The 21371-nt window shown below is 41.2% G+C and overlaps 3 annotated features.

Annotated features, from left to right (window-relative positions):
- Positions 15-309: a silencer, noted in NCBI's record as "tiled region #4861; HepG2 Repressive non-DNase unmatched - State 24:Quies". NCBI's record gives its function as "represses a minimal TATA promoter and a strong SV40 promoter by Sharpr-MPRA in HepG2 cells {active_cell/tissue: HepG2}" and the evidence as "EXISTENCE:reporter gene assay evidence [ECO:0000049][PMID:27701403]".
- Positions 18659-19192: a transcriptional cis regulatory region, noted in NCBI's record as "candidate enhancer chr11.5909 targeted for multiplex CRISPR interference". NCBI's record gives its function as "positively regulates FEZ1 gene expression with high confidence in K562 cells {active_cell/tissue: K562}" and the evidence as "EXISTENCE:mutant phenotype evidence [ECO:0000015][PMID:30612741]".
- Positions 19824-20090: a transcriptional cis regulatory region, noted in NCBI's record as "candidate enhancer chr11.5910 targeted for multiplex CRISPR interference". NCBI's record gives its function as "positively regulates FEZ1 gene expression with high confidence in K562 cells {active_cell/tissue: K562}" and the evidence as "EXISTENCE:mutant phenotype evidence [ECO:0000015][PMID:30612741]".

Consider the following 21371-nt stretch of genomic DNA (forward strand, 5'->3'; position numbering starts at 1 on the left):
TAGGAATTATTTCCTTGAATCATTTTAGTGTCTCTTCCTCAAACTAAGGTAGTTTCCTCATATGCTTACACTGATGTATACTCAGCTGAAGACATGATCTTGGAGCTTCCACCCCTATCTCTGCACTCTTTCCTCTTCAGCATTCTGCCCTGCAAACTTAAGCCACCTTGCCTCCCAAGACTCCCAATTCCATCTTGTAAATTCAGGGAGACTGCTAGGTTCCACCTGGGTTTCCACTCTCTGTGCTGTATCTTCCATACAGTAAGATGGGGCAGAAGTAGGGATCATCTCATTTGTTTCTCCCATCTCAGGGATCGCTGTCCTCTATCACCTGATGTCCAATATCTGAAAACTATTATTTCATGTATGTTGTCAGGTTTTTGTAGTTGTTTCCTGTAGGAGGGTAAATCTAGTCTCTGTTACTACATCTTGGCCAGAAGAAGAAGATAGCCTCATATATAATTTAATTTGATTCTCAGCATTACTCTGGGGCAGATAATATTATTACAGATGAAGATCTGAAGCTTGGAGAAATTAAATAACCTTTTCTAGAGGCTTGCACAGTATATGATGCATGGGCACTAAAACAACATAAACCAAACCAAACCAAAACGAGAAACACAAAGCCTTCCTGATGGTAAGTAAAAGGGCAAATCAAGGATGATAACAAAAATCCTTTTACTCCAAGCACTTTACCCTTTCTGCATTTATCACTGCCTCAGAGCACTGTTGGACTACCTATGTAGCAAAGACATGGAGGGCTGGTTTAAAGTGTTAATGTCTGTGTTCCATCCCTGATATACTAAATCAAAATCTCTGCTGTCAATCCTTAGAATCTCCATTTCTGATAAATTCCCCACCCCTTGCCTTAAGAAATAGAAAAGACTCCACAGAACTTTTAATTTTATCCTCTCTCAAACCTCTTCAAGAATCTTCCTCTAGGTTATCATCCTGATTTCTTCAACTTTCCTTTGTTTCTGGATCTTTCCTTTTATAAAAATATTCTATTTTCTCCCAGCTTAAAAACAGACTCTTGCAAAACCAAATGTAAAATTCTAAGCCCCCCAACCAGTGGAATGGACCCCTCCTCTTGCTCAAGGGCATTCCAAAGTTAACCTGAAAAACTAGTCCAGGCCATGATGGGAAGGGGGGTTAAATATGCCTCATTGTACCCTCCTCCCTTTGAAATTCAGGGACAACTGACCAACATTAACATTAAGACACAGATCTTAAGACTGTCATCCTAAGACTGACATCAAACAGATTCTTTGTAACGATAAGACACTAAATGCCAAACTGACTCTATTATAGCATCACATAACAGATAGCAGGCCCTGAAAGAAATTGAAGTATTTTACCCTAAAATACATTTCTTTGACACATTTTGAAATGGCCCTGTAAAGCTGTCTCTCACGGGGATATCTGCATTCTGTACAGAATCCTCTTCCCTTTCCAGGTCTTTTTCCTGATCCAGGAGAGAATTAACCAAAAGTCTGGCACCTTTTTAAGTCTGATAAGAAACATTTACAATCTATTATCTCTGAAGCCTGTTGCCTGGGAGCTTCATCTGCATAAAAGGAATATTGATCTCCATGACCTTTTATCCTAACCCAGACACTTCATTCTATTGATTCCAGGTCTATAGATAAACTCTTTCAACCAATTGCCAAACAGAAAATCTTTGAATCCATCTATGACATGGAGGCTTCTTCCAACCCTGTCCCCCACCCCACCACTGCTTCTGCTTCCAGTAATCCTTCTGCTCTGGACCAAACCAACATACATCTTACATATACTGATCGATGCTGTATATGTATATGCAAGACTCCGTCTCAAAAAAAAAAAAGGTTAACAGGGAAATAACTTTAAATAATGACTATCACACACAGTGTTGTGAATAATCTAGATAAACTATTAAATAATCAAGTAAATGTAATGAAATAAATGCTTATAAACAAACTTGCCATATAATTTAGAATCTAAGGTTATTAATTGATATTAAGGATCTGGGTAATTTCCAATCCAATTTAAAAATTACAGAAAACCTTTTTTTTTTTTTTTTTAAGATGGAGTCTCACTCTGTCACCCAGGCTGGAGTGCAGTGGCGTGATCTTGGTTCACTGCAAGCTCCACCTCCTGGGTTTACACCATTCTCCTGCCTCAGCCTCCTGAGTAGCTGGGACTACAGGTGCCCACCACCACGCCCGGCTAATTTTTTTTTTTGCATTTTTAGTAGAGACAGGGTTTCACCACGTTAGCCAGGATGGTTTTGATCTCCTGACCTCGTGATCCACCCACCTCGGCCTCCCAAAGTGCTGGGATTACAGGCGTGAGCCACCATACCTGGCAGAAAACCTTTTTTTAATGTTCTTATAAAAGTTCAATATGGAAGGGAGGAGCCAAGATGGTCGAATAGGAACAGCTCCGGTCTACAGCTCCCAGCGTGAGCGACGCAGAAGACGGGTGATTTCTGCATTTCCATCTGAGGTACCGGGTTCATCTCACTAGGGAGTGCCAGACAGTGGGCGCAGGCCAGTGGGTGCGTGCACCGTGCGTGAGCCGAAGCAGGGCGAGGCATTGCCTCACCTGGGAAGCGCAAGGGGTCAGGGAGTTCCCTTTCCGAGTCAAAGAAAGGGGTGACGGACGCACCTGGAAAATCGGGTCACTCCCACCCGAATATTGCGCTTTTCAGACCGGCTTAAGAAACGGCGCACCACGAGACTATATCCCACACCTGGCTCAGAGGGTCCTACGCCCACGGAGTCTCGCTGATTGCTAGCACGGCAGTCTGAGATCAAACTGCAAGGCAGCAACGAGGCTGGGGGAGGGGCGTCCGCCATTGCCCAGGCTTGCTTAGGTAAACAAAGCAGCCGGGAAGCTCGAACTGGGTGGAGCCCACCACAGCTCAAGGAGGCCTGCCTGCCTCTGTAGGCTCCACCTCTGGGGGCAGGGCACAGACAAACAAAAAGACAGCAGTAACCTCTGCAGACTTAAGTGTCCCTGTCTGACAGCTTTGAAGAGAGCAGTGGTTCTCCCAGCACGCAGCTGGAGATCTGAGAACGGGCAGACTGCCTCCTCAAGTGGGTCCCTGACCCCTGACCCCCGAGCAGCCTAACTGGGAGGAGGCACCCCCCAGCAGGGGCACACTGACACCTCACACGGCAGGGTATTCCAACAGACCTGCAGCTGAGGGTCCTGTCTGTTAGAAGGAAAACTAACAACCAGAAAGGACATCTACACCGAAAATCCATCTGTACAGCACCATCATCAAAGACCAAAAGTAGATAAAACCACAAAGATGGGGAAAAAACAGAACAGAAAAACTGGAAACTCTAAAACGCAGAGCGCCTCTCCTCCTCCAAAGGAACGCAGTTCCTCACCAGCAACAGAACAAAGCTGGATGGAGAATGATTTTGACGAGCTGAGAGAAGAAGGCTTCAGACGATCAAATTACTCTGAGCTATGGGAGGACATTCAAACCAAAGGCAAAGAAGTTGAAAACTTTGAAAAAAATTTAGAAGAATGTATAACTAGAATAACCAATACAGAGAAGTGCTTAAAGGAGCTGATGGAGCTGAAAACCAAGGCTCGAGAACTACGTGAAGAATGCAGAAGCCTCAGGAGCCGATGCGATCAACTGGAAGAAAGGGTATCAGCAATGGAAGATGAAATGAATGAAATGAAGCGAGAAGGGAAGTTTAGAGAAAAAAGAATAAAAAGAAATGAGCAAAGCCTCCAAGAAATATGGGACTATGTGAAAAGACCAAATCTACGTCTGATTGGTGTACCTGAAAGTGATGTGGAGAATGGAACCAAGCTGGAAAACACTCTGCAGGATATTATCCAGGAGAACTTCCCCAATCTAGCAAGGCAGGCCAACGTTCAGATTCAGGAAATACAGAGAACGCCACAAAGATACTCCTCGAGAAGAGCAACTCCAAGACACATAATTGTCAGATTCACCAAAGTTGAAATGAAGGAAAAAATGTTAAGGGCAGCCAGAGAGAAAGGTCAGGTTACCCGCAAAGGAAAGCCCATCAGACTAACAGCGGATCTCTCGGCAGAAACCCTACAAGCCAGAAGAGAGTGGGGGCCAATATTCAACATTCTTAAAGAAAAGAATTTTCAACCCAGAATTTCATATTCAGCCAAACTAAGCTTCATAAGTGAAGGAGAAATAAAATACTTTATAGACAAGCAAATGCTGAGAGATTTTGTCACCACCAGGCCTGCCCTAAAAGAGCTCCTGAAGGAAGCGCTAAACATGGAAAGGAACAACTGGTACCAGCCGCTGCAAAATCATGCCAAAATGTAAAGACCATCGAGACTAGGAAGAAACTGCATCAACTAATGAGCAAAATCACCAGCTAACATCATAATGACAGGATCAAATTCACACATAACAATATTAACTTTAAATATAAATGGACTAAATTCTGCAATTAAAAGACACAGACTGGCAAGTTGGATAAAGAGTCAAGACCCATCAGTGTGCTGTATTCAGGAAACCCATCTCACGTGCAGAGACACACATAGGCTCAAAATAAAAGGATGGAGGAAGATCTACCAAGCCAATGGAAAACAAAAAAAGGCAGGGGTTGCAATCCTAGTCTCTGATAAAACAGACTTTAAACCAACAAAGATCAAAAGAGACAAAGAAGGCCATTACATAATGGTAAAGGGATCAATTCAACAAGAGGAGCTAACTATCCTAAATATTTATGCACCCAATACAGGAGCACCCAGATTCATAAAGCAAGTCCTCAGTGACCTACAAAGAGACTTAGACTCCCACACATTAATAATGGGAGACTTTAACACCCCACTGTCAACATTAGACAGATCAACGAGACAGAAAGTCAACAAGGATACCCAGGAATTGAACTCAGCTCTGCACCAAGCAGACCTAATAGACATCTACAGAACTCTCCACCCCAAATCAACAGAATATACACTTTTTTCAGCACCACACCACACCTATTCCAAAATTGACCACATAGTTGGAAGTAAAGCTCTCCTCAGCAAATGTAAAAGAACAGAAATTATAACAAACTATCTCTCAGACCACAGTGCAATCAAACTAGAACTCAGGATTAAGAATCTCACTCAAAGCCGCTCAACTACATGGAAACTGAACAACCTGCTCCTGAATGACTACTGGGTACATAACGAAATGAAGGCAGAAATAAAGATGTTCTTTGAAACCAACGAGAACAAAGACACCACATACCAGAATCTCTGGGACGCATTCAAAGCAGTGTGTAGAGGGAAATTTATAGCACTAAATGCCTACAAGAGAAAGCAGGAAAGATCCAAAATTGACACCCTAACATCACAATTAAAAGAACTAGAAAAGCAAGAGCAAACACATTCAAAAGCTAGCAGAAGGCAAGAAATAACTAAAATCAGAGCAGAACTGAAGGAAATAGAGACACAAAAAACCCTTCAAAAAATCAATGAATCCAGGAGCTGGTTTTTTGAAAGGATCAACAAAATTGATAGACCGCTAGCAAGACTAATAAAGAAAAAGAGAGAAGAATCAAATAGACACAATAAAAAATGATAAACGGGATATCACCACTGATCCCACAGAAATACAAACTACCATCAGAGAATACTACAAACACCTCTACGCAAATAAACTAGAAAATCTAGAAGAAATGGATACATTCCTCGACACATACACTCTCCCAAGACTAAACCAGGAAGAAGTTGAATCTCTGAATAGACCAATAACAGGCTCTGAAATTGTGGCAATAATCAATAGTTTACCAACCAAAAAGAGTCCAGGACCAGATGGATTCACAGCCGAATTCTACCAGAGGTACAAGGAGGAACTGGTACCATTCCTTCTGAAACTATTCCAATCAATAGAAAAAGAGGGAATCCTCCCTAACTCATTTTATGAGGCCAGCATCATTCTGATACCAAAGCCGGGCAGAGACACAACCAAAAAAGAGAATTTTAGACCAATATCCTTGATGAACATTGATGCAAAAATCCTCAATAAAATACTGGCAAACCGAATCCAGCAGCACATCAAAAAGCTTATCCACCATGATCAAGTGGGCTTCATCCCTGGGATGCAAGGCTGGTTCAATATACGCAAATCAATAAATGTAATCCAGCATATAAACAGAGCCAAAGACAAAAACCACATGATTATCTCAATAGATGCAGAAAAAGCCTTTGACAAAATTCAACAACCCTTCATGCTAAAAACTCTCAATAAATTAGGTATTGATGGTACATATTTCAAAATAATAAGAGCTATCTATGACAAACCCACAGCCAATATCATACTGAATGGGCAAAAACTGGAAGCATTCCCTTTGAAAACTGGCACAAGACAGGGATGCCCTCTCTCACCGCTCCTATTCAACATAGTGTTGGAAGTTCTGGCCAGGGCAATCAGGCAGGAGAAGGAAATAAAGGGTATTCAATTAGGAAAAGAGGAAGTCAAATTGTCCCTGTTTGCAGACGACATGATTGTTTATCTAGAAAACCCCATTGTCTCAGCCCAAAATCTCCTTAAGCTGATAAGCAACTTCAGCAAAGTCTCAGGATACAAAATCAATGTACAAAAATCACAAGCATTCTTATACACGAACAACAGACAAACAGAGAGCCAAATCATGGGTGAACTCCCATTCACAATTGCTTCAAAGAGAATAAAATACCTAGGAATCCAACTTACAAGGGATGTGAAGGACCTCTTCAAGGAGAACTACAAACCACTGCTCAAGGAAATAAAAGAGGACACAAACAAATGGAAGAACATTCCATGCTCATGGGTAGGAAGAATCAATATCGTGAAAATGGCCATACTGCCCAAGGTAATTTACAGATTCAATGCCATCCCCATCAAGCTACCAATGACTTTCTTCACAGAATTGGAAAAAACTACTTTAAAGTTCATATGGAACCAAAAAAGAGCCCGCATTGCCAAGTCAATCCTAAGCCAAAAGAACAAAGCTGGAGGCATCACACTACCTGACTTCAAACTATACTACAAGGCTACAGTAACCAAAACAGCATGGTACTGGTACCAAAACAGAGATATAGATCAATGGAACAGAACAGAGCCCTCAGAAATAATGCCGCATATCTACAACTATCTGATCTTTGACAAACCTGAGAAAAACAAGCAATGGGGAAAGGATTCCCTATTTAATAAATGGTGCTGGGAAAACTGGCTAGCCATATGTAGAAAGCTGAAACTGGATCCCTTCCTTACACCTTATACAAAAATCAATTCAAGATGGATTAAAGATTTAAACGTTAAACCTAAAACCATAAAAACCCTAGAAGAAAACCTAGGCATTACCATTCAGGACATAGGCGTGGGCAAGGACTTCATGTCCAAAACACCAAAAGCAATGGCAACAAAAGACAAAATTGACAAATGGGATCTAATTAAACTAAAGAGCTTCTGCACAGCAAAAGAAACTACCATCAGAGTGAACAGGCAACCTACAACATGGGAGAAAATTTTTGCAACCTACTCATCTGACAAAGGGCTAATATCCAGAATCTACAATGAACTCAAACAAATTTACAAGAAAAAAACAAACAACCCCATCAAAAAGTGGGCGAAGGACATGAACAGACACTTCTCAAAAGAAGACATTTATGCAGCCAAAAAACACATGAAGAAATGCTCATCATCACTGGCCATCAGAGAAATGCAAATCAAAACCACTATGAGATATCATCTCACACCAGTTAGAATGGCAATCATTAAAAAGTCAGGAAACAACAGGTGCTGGAGAGGATGCGGAGAAATAGGAACACTTTTACACTGTTGGTGGGACTGTAAACTAGTTCATCCATTGTGGAAGTCAGTGTGGTGATTCCTCAGGGATCTAGAACTAGAAATACCATTTGACCCAGCCATCCCATTACTGGGTATATACCCAAATGAGTATAAATCATGCTGCTATAAAGACACATGCACACGTATGTTTATTGCGGCACTATTCACAATAGCAAAGACTTGGAACCAACCCAAATGTCCAACAATGATAGACTGGATTAAGCAAATGTGGCACATATACACCATGGAATACTATGCAGCCATAAAAAATGATGAGTTCATATCCTTTGTAGGGACATGGATGAAAATGGAAACCATCATTCTCAGTAAACTATCACAAGAACAAAAAACCAAACACCGCATATTCTCACTCATAGGTGGGAATTGAACAATGAGATCACATGGACACAGGAAGGGGAATATCACACTCTGGGGACTGTGGTGGGGTCGGGGGAGGGGGGAGGGATAGCATTGGGAGATATACCTAATGCTAGATGACACATTAGTGGGTGCAGCGCACCAGCATGGCACATGTATACATATGTAACTAACCTGCACAATGTGCACATGTACCCTAAAACTTAGAGTATAATAAAAAAATAAAAAAAAAAAAGTTCAATATGTTTATTTAATTCAAAGCTTATTTAAAGGTTATGTGTAAAACAAGGTAAAAGGAAGCAGGAAATAAGAGATGTAAAGAAAATTATCAATATAAAGAGGCATTTTTTGTATTTAAGGCAAACAGGAAAGTAATTTTATATGAGAAAGAATCTTGCCTAGTGAATTTTTGTTCTAAAATAAAATGACTGGGTTGTTTAAGAAAGTGAAATATTTAGGACAAACCAGAAGGTCCAAGTATGTTGTGAATGGTCTAAGTTGTAATAAGGTTAGTAAAAAGGGAACTTATAAAAGTATTATGTGATTAATTGGTTTTAATTACAGAAAATTATAATAGTTTTTTAAAATTGAACTTTGGTATTTAAAAATATGCTAATACAAAATTAAATAATTGGTTAAAACAAGATTTTATTAAAATATTAACTTATACTTAATGCAAGAGGTTTTTAATTTTTAAATTCTATAATCTGTCTCTTTGAAATTCTTCAGATTAGTATCTCAAAAATTCAGGTCTTTCTCTTTTGAAAAGGCCTTCACCTTTTGTTGGCTCTTGTAACTTTTAATTATCTAAAGTAAGAGAAGAATTTTTTTAAAAAACATGGCAATTAAATATCTTTTGGACCTGCCATTTGTATTCTGCATGCCTGTGATAGCTCTATTCTTATATGTGTCACGTGGAAGTGATAGTTCACTACTGTTAAATCAAGTTTAGCCTAAAGCTGTCTCCTCACATATTTTAAGTTTGGCCTAAGGGTTTTACTGTACATCATGAACTGCTGCAAGTGGAGGTGTAAACAGACTGTACCCTACCTTGTGTCAATCCCAGAGTTTCTGCCAATCAAATGTAGCCAACTGTTCAAACCATGTTCAAATAAGGCAAACACTGAGCTATAACCAATCCAGCTGTTTCTGTTCCTCACTTCCATTTTCTGTTCCTCACTTCCATTTTCTGTACATCACTTTCCTTTTTCTGTCAATAAATCTTTTTCACCATATGGCTGTGCTGGAGTCTGGGCCTACTCTGGGTCAGGAGACTGCCTAATTCACAAATTGTTTATTGTTCAATTAAATGTCTTTAAATTTAATTTGGCTGAAGTTTTTCTTTCATCAGATGGTGTCAGAAGTGGGATCTGAACTAGAGCCTCTAACGAGACCCCCAGGAGTGCTGAGTGACCAAGCAAGGTATCTGCTGGACCCATTGTGTTCGTTTCTCTCTCAGAGTAGTTGAGGATCATGGTAAGGTCTCCCTCAGATGCTGAAGCTCCACGGATTTGTTTTGAACTGAGTTTCTTTGAGCAAGTCTCTGATTTAATCTGGATTTGGAAGTTGTGATGGAAACTGGACTTGGTTCAGGATCAGATTGGATCTGGAATTAATCATCTTGGATCCAGTTAGAGGCCTCCTACATCTGACTGGGTCAGAAAGAAACTGGTAGTAAATGGCAATGTTGCAGGGGATGTAAAATTTGGCTTTTGGAAATTCTCATGGACTTTTGTGTACTACCCCTTTGTTTCATTTTTCATGTGCCATTATGTAGAAAAAAAATTGTCTGAGTTGATCAAGGGAACCTGAGAGCAAGGCCAATATTTGAGGTAAAAATGAGATCCTTAATTTCTTTTTCTCGGTTTTTGTTGTTGTTGTTGTTGTTTTGTTTTGTTTTGTTTTGTTTTTTGAGACAGAGTCTCACTTCATCAACCAGGCTGGAGTGCAGTGGCATGATCTTGGCTCACTGCAATCTTCACCTCCTGGGTTCAACAGATTATCGTGCCTCAGCCTCCCAAGTAGATGGGATTACAGGAGTGTGAAACAACACCAGGCTAATTTTTGTATTTTTAGAGGAGACGTGGATTTTGCCATGTTGGCCAGGCTGGTCTTGAACTCCTGGCTTCAAGTTATTTACCCACCTCAGCCTCCCAAAGTGCTGGGATTACAGGAATGAGCCACCACACCTGCCAAGATCTTTAACTTCTGAAGAACTGAGTTCCTTCCAGCTTAAACATGCGTAAGTATTATACCCTGGAAGCAGCAAAGTTTTACAGAAATGGCAAAATATTACTAAAGATAACTTACAGTGGAACGTTACAAATAAACAACACTGTACTGAAATGAATTTGAAAATAAGGGCTCCCAAATTAGTCTCATCTAGGGATGCCTATTGATGTACAAAACTTCTTTAAAAAATCAGTATTTTTATTAAAAACTTTATGAGGCTGGATGCAGTGACTCATGCCTGTAATCCCAGCACTTTGGGAGGCCTAGGTGGATGGATCACCTGAGGTAGGAGTTTGAGACCAGCCTGACCAATAGGGCAAAACCCCATCTCTACTAAAAAACAAAAATTAGCCAAGCGTGATGGCGGGCACCTGTAGTCCCAGCTACTTGGGAGGCTGAGGCAGGAGAATCACTTGAACCCAGGGGGTGGAGGTTGCAATGAGCCAAGTTCATGCCACTGCACTCCAACCTGGGTGACAGAGTGAGACTCCATCTCAAAAAATAAAAATAAAAATAAATGAAGACTTTACGAAAGGTAAATAAAAAGCTTAAGCAACTAATTGATTTAAAAATTTAAATATGCTAAACTTTTGGTTTAGTTACTATCCCTATCCAAAGGAAATAGATTGCAGCACCAATTGGCTGACTTTGAGTAAGTAGTGAGGTACATTTTACCTCGGTAAAGGATAGGATTGGGTTTGAGGCCCAACTTAGGAAGATTAGAGTCCCTCATAAGATTTAGGGGGTTAGAGGTCCCTCTCAGTAAAGTCCCTCTTGGTTAAAAATGGATTTGGCACTACAGAATGTTAAGCACTATTCTCTTTGAATTTAATCTGCCTTGCACTATTTGCTGATAGCTGTGGGTGACAGGATTAGGTGTGTACAGGAACATGGGACTGCTTTAAGAGATCGCTTTGCGACTGACAAGTGGCTGCCTGAACATTTGATTCAGTGTCACTGCAAGGGGTTGGCCTTTCTCTGGCCTCCCTGAGCTCCTAGTCTTCCTCACCTCAGCACAGCCAATGCTTTTCTCTCTCTTTCTCCTTTCCCTTTCCTCTCTTTTCTGTTACTCAGAGCAACCATCTTGCCCAGAGACCCACATGTTGAAACTTCTATAATCAACTTTGAATGGATCAAAGATGACAGGGCCCAACCAGGGGCAAGTTTGAGCCCTGACAGTTCAATATCTGGTGCTAAGCAGAGTGGCTAATGTCTGTTTTGTCACATGAATTTTGCTCTGACCAGAATGGAAAGTGTTTATTTGGTAACCCCATGCAAGTTCTGGGCAGCACCTTGCAAAATTGAGCGGTGTTGCCTATGATTTCACGAAATGGAAAAAAGTAAGTTTCCTTTGTAATGTGGATTGGCCCCCAGGGCTATCGTGCAGCAAGCAGCATGGCTAGGGCTGCTTGGGAAAGGAAACTCAGAAGCCTGACATGCTGGCAAAAGGGTAAGAATTTCTTACCAGTCAGACTTCTGGCCTCTCTCTCTCTCTATGCAAACTGGTTGTAGGAATGGCAAAAATCACTGTCTCCTCTACAAAGTTGTAATTAATGAAAAAAAGGATTCATGAGGCTAGTCTTAAGCTGTGGCAAATCTGGTGTACTTTGTGCTTTGAATTCATCTTTCTGCATTGTTTTGTCATAAGAAGTGGTATCATGTGATAGAATGCAGGCCTAGGACCCCCATAAACTTCCTGTTCAAGTTAGCCTGGTCAGTGACAAACTTTGCTGCTGGTCTCCAAAACAACAAAAAAACTGGATGAGGTTTCCCCCTCATCTTGTTTTACATCTTTAGGAGCTTGACCTTGTAACCACATGGCCATACTTTCTCTTGGTCTTTGCCATCCAGGGAACAGGAATTTTGGGGTTGGTGTCATAGTTAGCTCTAAAAATTATCTTGAAAAGTTAAAAACCATTGCAAGCTCAAAATGGACTGCTCTAGGCTCCTTGTGGGAAGAACAATGAAACCACCCAATGCTGTAGCTTAGCATCTAAGGCTTTGTCTTTTATAATGGCAGTCAGAGTTCAATTCCTGGCTTAGGGAATGAGTCCTGTTTGGTGTGATATCTGGTGTGAGTTTTGCCATTTATTGATTCTCTTCTTCTCCATGAACAACTTCTGACTTCCCATTTTGAATTTTCCTTTCTCTGAAAAGAAAAGGTTACCTTCGTTCAAAAGCCAGAAATATTTGCTGTTTGTTCTGGCTAGAGTTTCATAATAAGATATTTGGTTAAAAGTCAGCTTAGTTAAAAGCAGATAGTCAAGCTACAGGTATATTTAAAATGCCTTTATGGTTCTTCCTCTTCTTGATTCTTATTTTTCTGGGAAAAAAAGTTTTGTTTTTTATTTTCAGTCAACCGAATTGTATTTCTCCATTTTGTCTTCTTACCACTCTTGATGCACACATGAGGAGACCTAACATAACTTCTAACAGTCTAGGACCCCTGGGGAAAAACAGAGGAGGAGCCACAGACCCTGTTATGGGAAAAACTTGTTTTCGTCATGAAACCCCAGGAATTGAAAGCACATAGATCCCTCTCAAAATCTAAGGCTAAATATAGTTTTGGGGATGGCAAATGGCAGTTATGGGGAAATACTCGGCTCTTTGCATGTTTTGATCAGAGAAGCATGCTCTCGGCCATGTAGAAAGTATGGAAATGTCCCCACCTCCTACTGAGAGATAAGAGTCCCATGGAGCTGGGCTGATCACAAAATGGGCTGATCAGCTTTGGGTTGCTTTGCAATGAAATGCAAAGTAAAACCATTGCTCTGGCTAGGCGTGGTGGCTCACCTCTGTAATCCCAGCACTCTGGGAGACTGAGACAGGTGGATCACTTCAGACCAGGAGTTCGAGATCAACATGGTGAACATAGTGAAACCCTGTCTCTACTAAAAATACAAAGAATTAGCCAGGCATGGTGGCGCACACCTGTAGTCTCAGCTGCTTGGGAGGCTGAGGCAGAAAAATCGTTTGAACTTGGGAGGTGGAGGTTGCAGTGAGCAGAGATTGTGTCGCTGCACGTCAGCCTAGGTGACAGAGTGAGACTCTGTCTCAGAATAACAACAACAACAAAAAAAATCATTTACTGTCTTGTTCTATAGCATTTCTCTTTTGGGGATCTAGGATCCAGTATTGTTAGGAGTAGCGAATATCCAAGTAACTGGCAGCAGATCCAAATGAGTATGCAGAACCTAAATTCTTGCCTCTTCAAAAGAAAGAATTTGACTGAGGGGCACAAGACAGAAAAAGAGACTGAGGCAAGTTTCAGAGCAGGAGTGGAAGTTTATGAAAAAGTTTTAGAGGAGGAAAGAAAGAAAAGTACACTTGGAAGAGACCAAAGTGGGCACTTTGGAGGTCAAGTATTCCCTTTAACCTTGATCCTAGGACTTTATATACTGGTGAAGCAGCTACATTGTCTGGGGTACATACCCTGACAATGTACCCTGGGGTTTGTTGTCACACACTAGGGAAATTTAGGACTGTGTAAACAAGGTATGAGGCCAGTTCTCCCCATGGGGCTTTTATCAGCTCTGCAGGTACAGGTTGACTCCTTAAAGGGAAGCATACCCTTCCAGTCAAAGCCTTGATAAAATAACCAATTTTTCCAATTGTGTCCTGTCAAAAAATAAAAATGGATTCTTATTGCACCGATGCAAACAACTATATCACCATAAGTTGTTTGGCAATATAACTGCCAAACACACAGATAGTTTCCAAATTCTAGAGGAACCAGGCAGAGAGAAACAAACATGCTCCAAATTTTGTTCACAGAAGTATAACTTACTCAATTATTAAAGACCATAAATAGTTCAAAATCAGTTTCCTTGATGCTGAAAAACAAAACAAGGATCAGAAATATTCTAAGCAAAAGTCAAAAAGGTTGCTTTAACTTTCTGAGTGCAGTCCATTTAGTTAATTCATTTTGCTTAACATTGGTGAACATGTCAGTTCTTTACGAGTCCTGTGCATTTTTTCTCGATTCCAATGTTACAATTTTCAAAGCTATTAGAAAACTGCATTTGAGAACACTGTTAAAGTCTTATAGCTTGGGCTGGATGTGGTGGCTCACACCTGTAATCCCAGCATTTTGGGAGGCTGAGGCAGGTGGATCACCTGAGATCGGGAGTTCAAGACCAGCCTGACTAATACGGAGAAACCCTGTCTCTACTAAAAGTACAAAATTAGCTGGGCGTGGTGGCGCATGCCAGTAATCCCAGCTACCTGGGAGGCTGAGGCAGGAGAATCACTTGAACTCGGGAGGCGGAGGCTGCAGTGAGCTGAGATTGTGCCATTGCACTCCAGCCTGGGCAACAAGAGAGAAACTCTGTCTCAAAAGAAAATAAAAAAACATAATAATAAAGTCTTATAGCTTGATTATAACCCATCTTTTGAGAAAGAACAAAGCAAGGCAACAATTGTCTGTGAATGACAAAATTTCCAGGGTAGTTGCAGTTAAATACATGACTGACAAAGAAGTTTAGTTATCTCCATGGTTTATAAAAACTTTACCCTTAATTATGATTGATAGCATACACTTAGACATTAGAATTTTAGAAATTCCATACAATTTTGGAACATATATTATTATTATTCACCAAAATACAACCTAAAGAAGATTAGACATCATTTTGGCAATCTCATGTGACTAAACATACCACATAATCCTGTTTACCACTTCTCTGGATGTTTCAGGGACCCTCTGAACCATCCAGAAAGTCAGACATCAAGAAAGACAATTTTGAAACTTGAAGTTTGATTTTGGGGTGCCTGTTAAATGTTAAAGGTTTAAAACACTTGACGTTATAAAATAGAATTCCAGATTTCCATAAATTATTTTAGCAAAATGATGACTCAAAAGGCAAAAACCGTTCATTAGCCTTTACTATTGCACAAAAATCCTGTTCAAGGCCAAATTTTACCCTTGCATTACTTTATTAATGTTAATCCAAATTTATTTAAATGAAACCTTATAAAGGATTCCATCTAATCTTAACCAATTTGACCATAAGGTGAAATCTTTACAAATCCTTTATAACCCCTTTTTCTAAAGGGCAGATTAGTGTCTTAAGACAAACTTGCTGTGCTTTTATTTAAATGCTCAATTTATAAAAAGACCACATAATACCTTTTTGAATGTAGTTAATGTTTGTACATTTTTTGCAAGATTAATATTTACCATCTTTTCACAACTTACTTAAACCTTTAGCTGTATCATATAAAATTTAAGATAATCCCTCATCCCTGGGAAAATTTACATTTCCATGCTTTCTTATAATCTTTTACTAAAAGACATATTTTACTGTTTTTATATGCCTTGCATATAAAACTGTTTAGTGACCTTAAATACATGTTGCACTGTTAACTCTTAGCAACTTTTACTTTTGGTGAAAACTTAGTTAGTAAGCAATTTCAATCATGCACCAGGTGTGGAGCCTAGGATCCAGACAGAAGTGCAGATAAGGTCGGACTCTTTCCAGAGTCTAACTCCATGTATTCCAGGCCTTGCCTATCTGTAAAGCAGGCAGTATACAACCTTGGAACGTTTAGCAAACCTAGCATCTGACCTTGTATGATTTAGACCACCTATTTGCTTTTTGATGACACCTGCGTTTTATCAATAATCCCTAAGACTATTTTTATTTCTTTTTTTTTTTTTTTTTTTTGAGACAGAGTCTTGCTCTGTCACCCAGACTGGAGTACAGTGGCACCATCTCAGCTCACTGCAACCTCCACCTCATTGGTTCAAGTGATTTTCCTGCCTCAGCCTCCCGAGTAGCTGAGGTTACAGGTGCCCACCACCATGCCCAACTAATGTTTTTATTTTTAGTAGAGATGGGGTTTTGCCATGTTGGCCAGGCTGGTCTTGAACTCCTGACCTCAGGTGATCCATCCACGTCAGCCTCCCAAAGTGCTGGGATTACAGGCTTGAGCCACCGCGCCCAGCCTATTTTTATTTCTTAAAGATTAAAGTCATGTGAACTAAAAATATATTTGATTTAAGTGCTTATTTTCTTTTAGAGCCAGCTCTTTTTTACAGATATTACACACAACATATATATGCACAGACAGAAGAAGATTTAGCACTTGCAAGATTTGTCATTTGCCAGTTTCCTGATTAGATTACTGGCTTCAGGGTGGAGCCCTTGGAGGAACAGGGCAAGGCGACATGCATTTTTAGGGTCTAATAAGCAGGCACAGCTGATGGCAAAGACAGATCTCTAAAATTAAAGGATCCATTTTATACTGGACTTTGGATCCCCAAAAGGAGGGAAATACTATGAGAGAAGACAATGCAGTGCTTCTACTGTGTATTTCATTGCAAGGCAACACAAAGCCAATTGGCTTATTTTGTAATCAGCCCATCCCCCATGGGAGTCTCATCTCTTAGTTGTGGGTGGGGATGTTTCCATATCTTTCAGGTGGCCAAGAGCATGCTTCTCTGATTTATAACTATTATTAGCCATCCCTTAAACTGTATTTCCTACCTAGTTATTACACACCAAAACTCTCTCCTAATGTGAAGTAATTTAATACCCCCAAAACTCAAAATTGTCAGATAACACAATGCAAAACACAACAGAACCTTTGATTTTAAGAGAGAACTATGTGCTTTTAATTCCTGGGGTTTCATGAGGAAAACAGAGGTTTTTTTCCCAAAATGGGGTCTGTGGTGCCTCCTCTGTTTTTCCCTAGGAGTCCCATGCTACCAGAAGTTATCTTAGGACCTCTCATGCATGCATTAAGAGTGGGAAGACAAAAAAAAAAATAGAGAAAAATAATTCGGTTGACTGAAAAGAAAAAAAAAAAAAACCATTTTCCAAAAAAAAAACAAGATCCAAGAAGAGAAAAACATAAAGGCCTTTCAAATCTACCTATAAATTGAATATCCACTTTTAATTAACCTGGGCACTCTTTAAGAAAATCGTTTTAAATCCCTTGTTACTCAACTTTAACCATGCCAAGCAGTTAAGATTTTCAATTTTTGAACGTCACAAAATGTAACCTCACAGGTGAAACCAATGAGCCTTAATTAGGTTATGACTTAACCATGAGTATAAAAGGTATTTTCAAAAGGGTGATAAGGAGCTTTTGAAATTGTCATTGCAAAATTGTGACTGAGAAAGTGAAAGAGATCTGATCCAAACAGCTCCATTTTGCATCCAGCCCCCAAGTTGTCCTTGTCCATCCCAGGCATAGGCCAAACCAACTTTGGGAGGAGGCTGGTTTACAGTTTATAGTCTGAACCAAAGATGATAACAGCCCTTTCTTAAGATATACTTCCCTCTTGCCTGGGGACTGGACCAAGAACCTTGCCACAAGATTAGAAACCATGGCCTAGGAGTCACACAGCTGGAGGCTACACGATTTTGACCCTCCCCAAACTGCTCTCAAGATTGGTGCTTAAGATATTTTGTAAACCCTGCCCTTGATGGATCAGCTGCCACCACTCAGATTGACAAACTGGCTTATCTGATTTTGTGGCCCTCACCCAGGAATTGACTTGGTACAAGAATACAGCCACCATTGTAAAATGGCAGAGACTAAAACAAAGTATTGCCATGTGGTTACAGGTCATGTGCCCAAGGACATGAAACAAGATGGAGACTTGTAGCCTAGTTTGTTACTGACCATTTTGTTGTGCTGGCTTGAACAGCAGGCTTATGGGGTCCTGGGCCTGCATCCTAACCTAAGGTACCCTTTTTCTTTTGACAGAACCATACAGAAAGACTCACAAAGTACACCAGATTGACTACAGCTTAAGACCAACCTCACAAATCCTTTTTCATTAATTAAAACTTTACAGAGAATATAAACAATGATTCTTATTATGCTTTTTGCCAGTTTGCATAGGGAGAGAGAAGACAAAAGCTTGACTGGTTAAAAAAAAAAAAAACTTTTACCCTTTTGCCAGCATGTCAGGCTTCTGGGTTCCCTTCCTCCTAGCTCAACCCTAAGTGGAGCATTTTAAGGTTTGGGGAAGTCAGCTTTTCCCAGGTTGGAAGAACATTGTAAAAGAACTATTTTAAACTGTGAAAGGAAAGATACCATAGAAAAGTCTAGGGGATCCAAATAGGGTTGTCAAGAGGTGCTGCCTCTCTTCCTATTAGGGATGGTGTTTCCCCTATTTCTTCACCTTTTCTATTGTCCCTTTTCCTTTTAGACCTACTATAGGAGACATATTGCTCATCTCCCAAATTTCTCTGCTGCCTACATAGCTGCCTGCTTCTCAGCTGCGGTTAGGGTTTGGCTTAGGAGCAGCACAACATCCCGCTATGAGAGGACAAATACCTATTTTGGAAGTCTTCTATATACCTATCAGAGTCATCAGAAAATCAGCCTAAGTCTCCCTTTATTTGCTTAAGATCCTGTAATGAGAAGGGAACTTGAAACCTAGTAGCATCAGCTCCATTGGGCATTTCCTGTAGGGGGAAGACTGAAGCCGGGGGAGTGGGAAATTTTGGAGATGGTAGAGATGGAAGAGCTGGTGGTGTGGTTGGTGGTGGCTCCAGATAAGGGGGAGTGGAAGGGCTGAGACACCCGATAGCTTCCTCAGATGGTTCCCCCAGAAGTTGCTTTTTTACTTTTGGGGAATTATTCTCTTTGGGCCTGCCAGATAAGATTGCTAAAAGAGCTGTGTTGATTTTAGAATGCTTGCAAAAGGTCTAGTAAAAAGGCCATGTCCTTGTGCAAAACAAAATGAGCCACTTTTTCTTTAAAGTCTCAGGGTGAAAGGGGTCCCAGTGCTTCAGAATGCACTCCAGGGGAGTGCAGGTTGAAGATGGTACCCATCTAGAAAAAGAAGTGAGAAAAGGGCATCCCTTTAGTCTCCTTTCTTTTGGTGTGACCCAGGGTGGAGAGGAAGACAGTGGGGATGTCCCCTCCTGCTGTTTTCCATCCATGATTTCTGGGTCCTGGCACATGCCATCCATGGTTGCAGGTATGACCCCCCCCAGCCATGGAAGAAGAGGAACTAAGCAACTAGGGCTAGTCACACTCACCCAAGTGGCTCTAGTCCTCTCCCTGTGATTTCCCTTTGACTTCCTAGACTTATGTGATGGGCCTGGCTCCCCTAAAAATGGATCTCAAGAAAAACTACGTAATAGTTGGACAAAGCCCCTTTAATGGAAGGGGCGTGTGAGATTGAACACTATATCCTGCTATTATGGCCCATGCTAAAGCATTTACCCTTAAAGAATGGTTCTGGTTAACTTCCAAACTTAAAATCCCCTCACTAATTAAGTACCATTCTAATTGGAGGCAGAATAGGTGCTGTAAAAGAACATAGGGACTAAATGGCCATTTTCCTGCTGAAGGGACAGTATCGAGACTAAAATTTGGCTTCAGAGTATATTTTACTCCTAGTTGTTGGAGGCAGAATTTTCCTGTTTACAGAAGCAGCATAAAGCCTGGTTTCTGGTAGAGGGGTGCACAAAGGGGAGAGAACTGGGAAGCTAGGGTGTTTCCGTGAAGGACCAACAATATGCCTCATTGAGAGGATCTCTATTCCACTAGGGAGCACTGTTGACCTTGAAACACCTTGCGCTCTCTAGACTAGGGGCAGAGTGAGCTTGACATGCCATGTGCTCTCCAGACCAAGGGCAGAGAGTGACCTGGAAGTGTTATGTGCTCACCAGACAAAGGGCAGAGAGAGACTTGGGAATACCCTGTGCTCTCTAGACCGAGGGCAGAGAGTGATGCTCACTGTTGTGGGGGAACCTCTGTTCCTAGAAAATTACAAAGACACCTTCCCTTGAGCTGTATCCCCAGTTACTATGACATTCCCTGATCCTGCCAAACAAGATTACTTCCCTGAACTGTAAAACTTCCCACACATTGCATACACAGAGAGGATAAGCTATATGACCGTTGTGGACAGGAAAAGAGGAAATTATGATAGGAAAGTTGGAGATCTTGTTACTGACACCCCATTGGGGTGGTCAGAGACTGGGGTCCGTCCAGAAGCCTTTAGATAACACTGAGGGGTAGCTCCAGCCAGAAATCCTCAGTTGCTCCAGGACTTCTTCCAGCCCCATGTGATGGCTAAGTCCTCCACGAAAGGAAACTGGTTTAAACATGGCCAATACAGGCCAGGCACAGTGGCTCATGCCTGTAATCCCAGCACTTGGGGAGGCTGAGGCAGGTGGACCACCTGAAGTCAGGGGTTTGAGACCAGCCTGGCCAACATGGTGAAACCCCGTCTCCAATAAAAACACAAAAATTAGCTGGGCATGGTGGCACACGCCTGTAATCCTAGCTACTTGGGAGACTAAGGCAGGAAGAATCACTTGAACCTGGGAGGCGGAGGTTGCAGTGAACCGAGATCGCACCACTGCACTCCAGCCTAGGTGACAGAGCAAGACTGTCTCAAAAAAAAAAAAAAAAAGGTGGCGGGGGGCGGGCAATATGCCCAGCATCCTATGGATACTGGGGCTTCTCCATGTTCTCCACAGCAAGCCTGTCCCCCAAGTCTTCTAAGGCTGGCAGCCACACTAATCATTTTTAAATGGCTAAAGGGGGCCCAGTATTTGGTTTGATTTAGTTCTAAAATGGAGGCTGAGAGCCTCAAAATGAAAGGACAGAGTTGGAGTCCACTCCTCTACTCACTCTTCTGATGAATGCTATACCTTGGTATCCCAGGCAAGGTCCCCATTATGAAGCAGCTACATTGTCTGGGTAATATAACCTGGGGTTCATTGTCGCCTGCCAGGGAAATTTAGGACATGGACACACACAAGGAGTTTAGGAACAGAGGTAGAAGAGAAAGAGAAACAGCTTCCTGTATAGAAGAAGGGGCCTTGAGTGGAAAAGACTAGCTAGCAGTCAATGTGTCGAGTTCTATAGTCCAGTTTGAGGAGGCAATTCTGATTTACCCAGGGCTCATAGATTGGTTTGATCAGGTATGACGTTTACACAGTGCATGGGGAAGGCTGTCGTCCCACCC

This window comes from Homo sapiens, chromosome 11 (assembly GCF_000001405.40).
Source record: "Homo sapiens chromosome 11, GRCh38.p14 Primary Assembly".
In the NCBI taxonomy this organism is placed as follows: domain Eukaryota; kingdom Metazoa; phylum Chordata; class Mammalia; order Primates; family Hominidae; genus Homo; species Homo sapiens.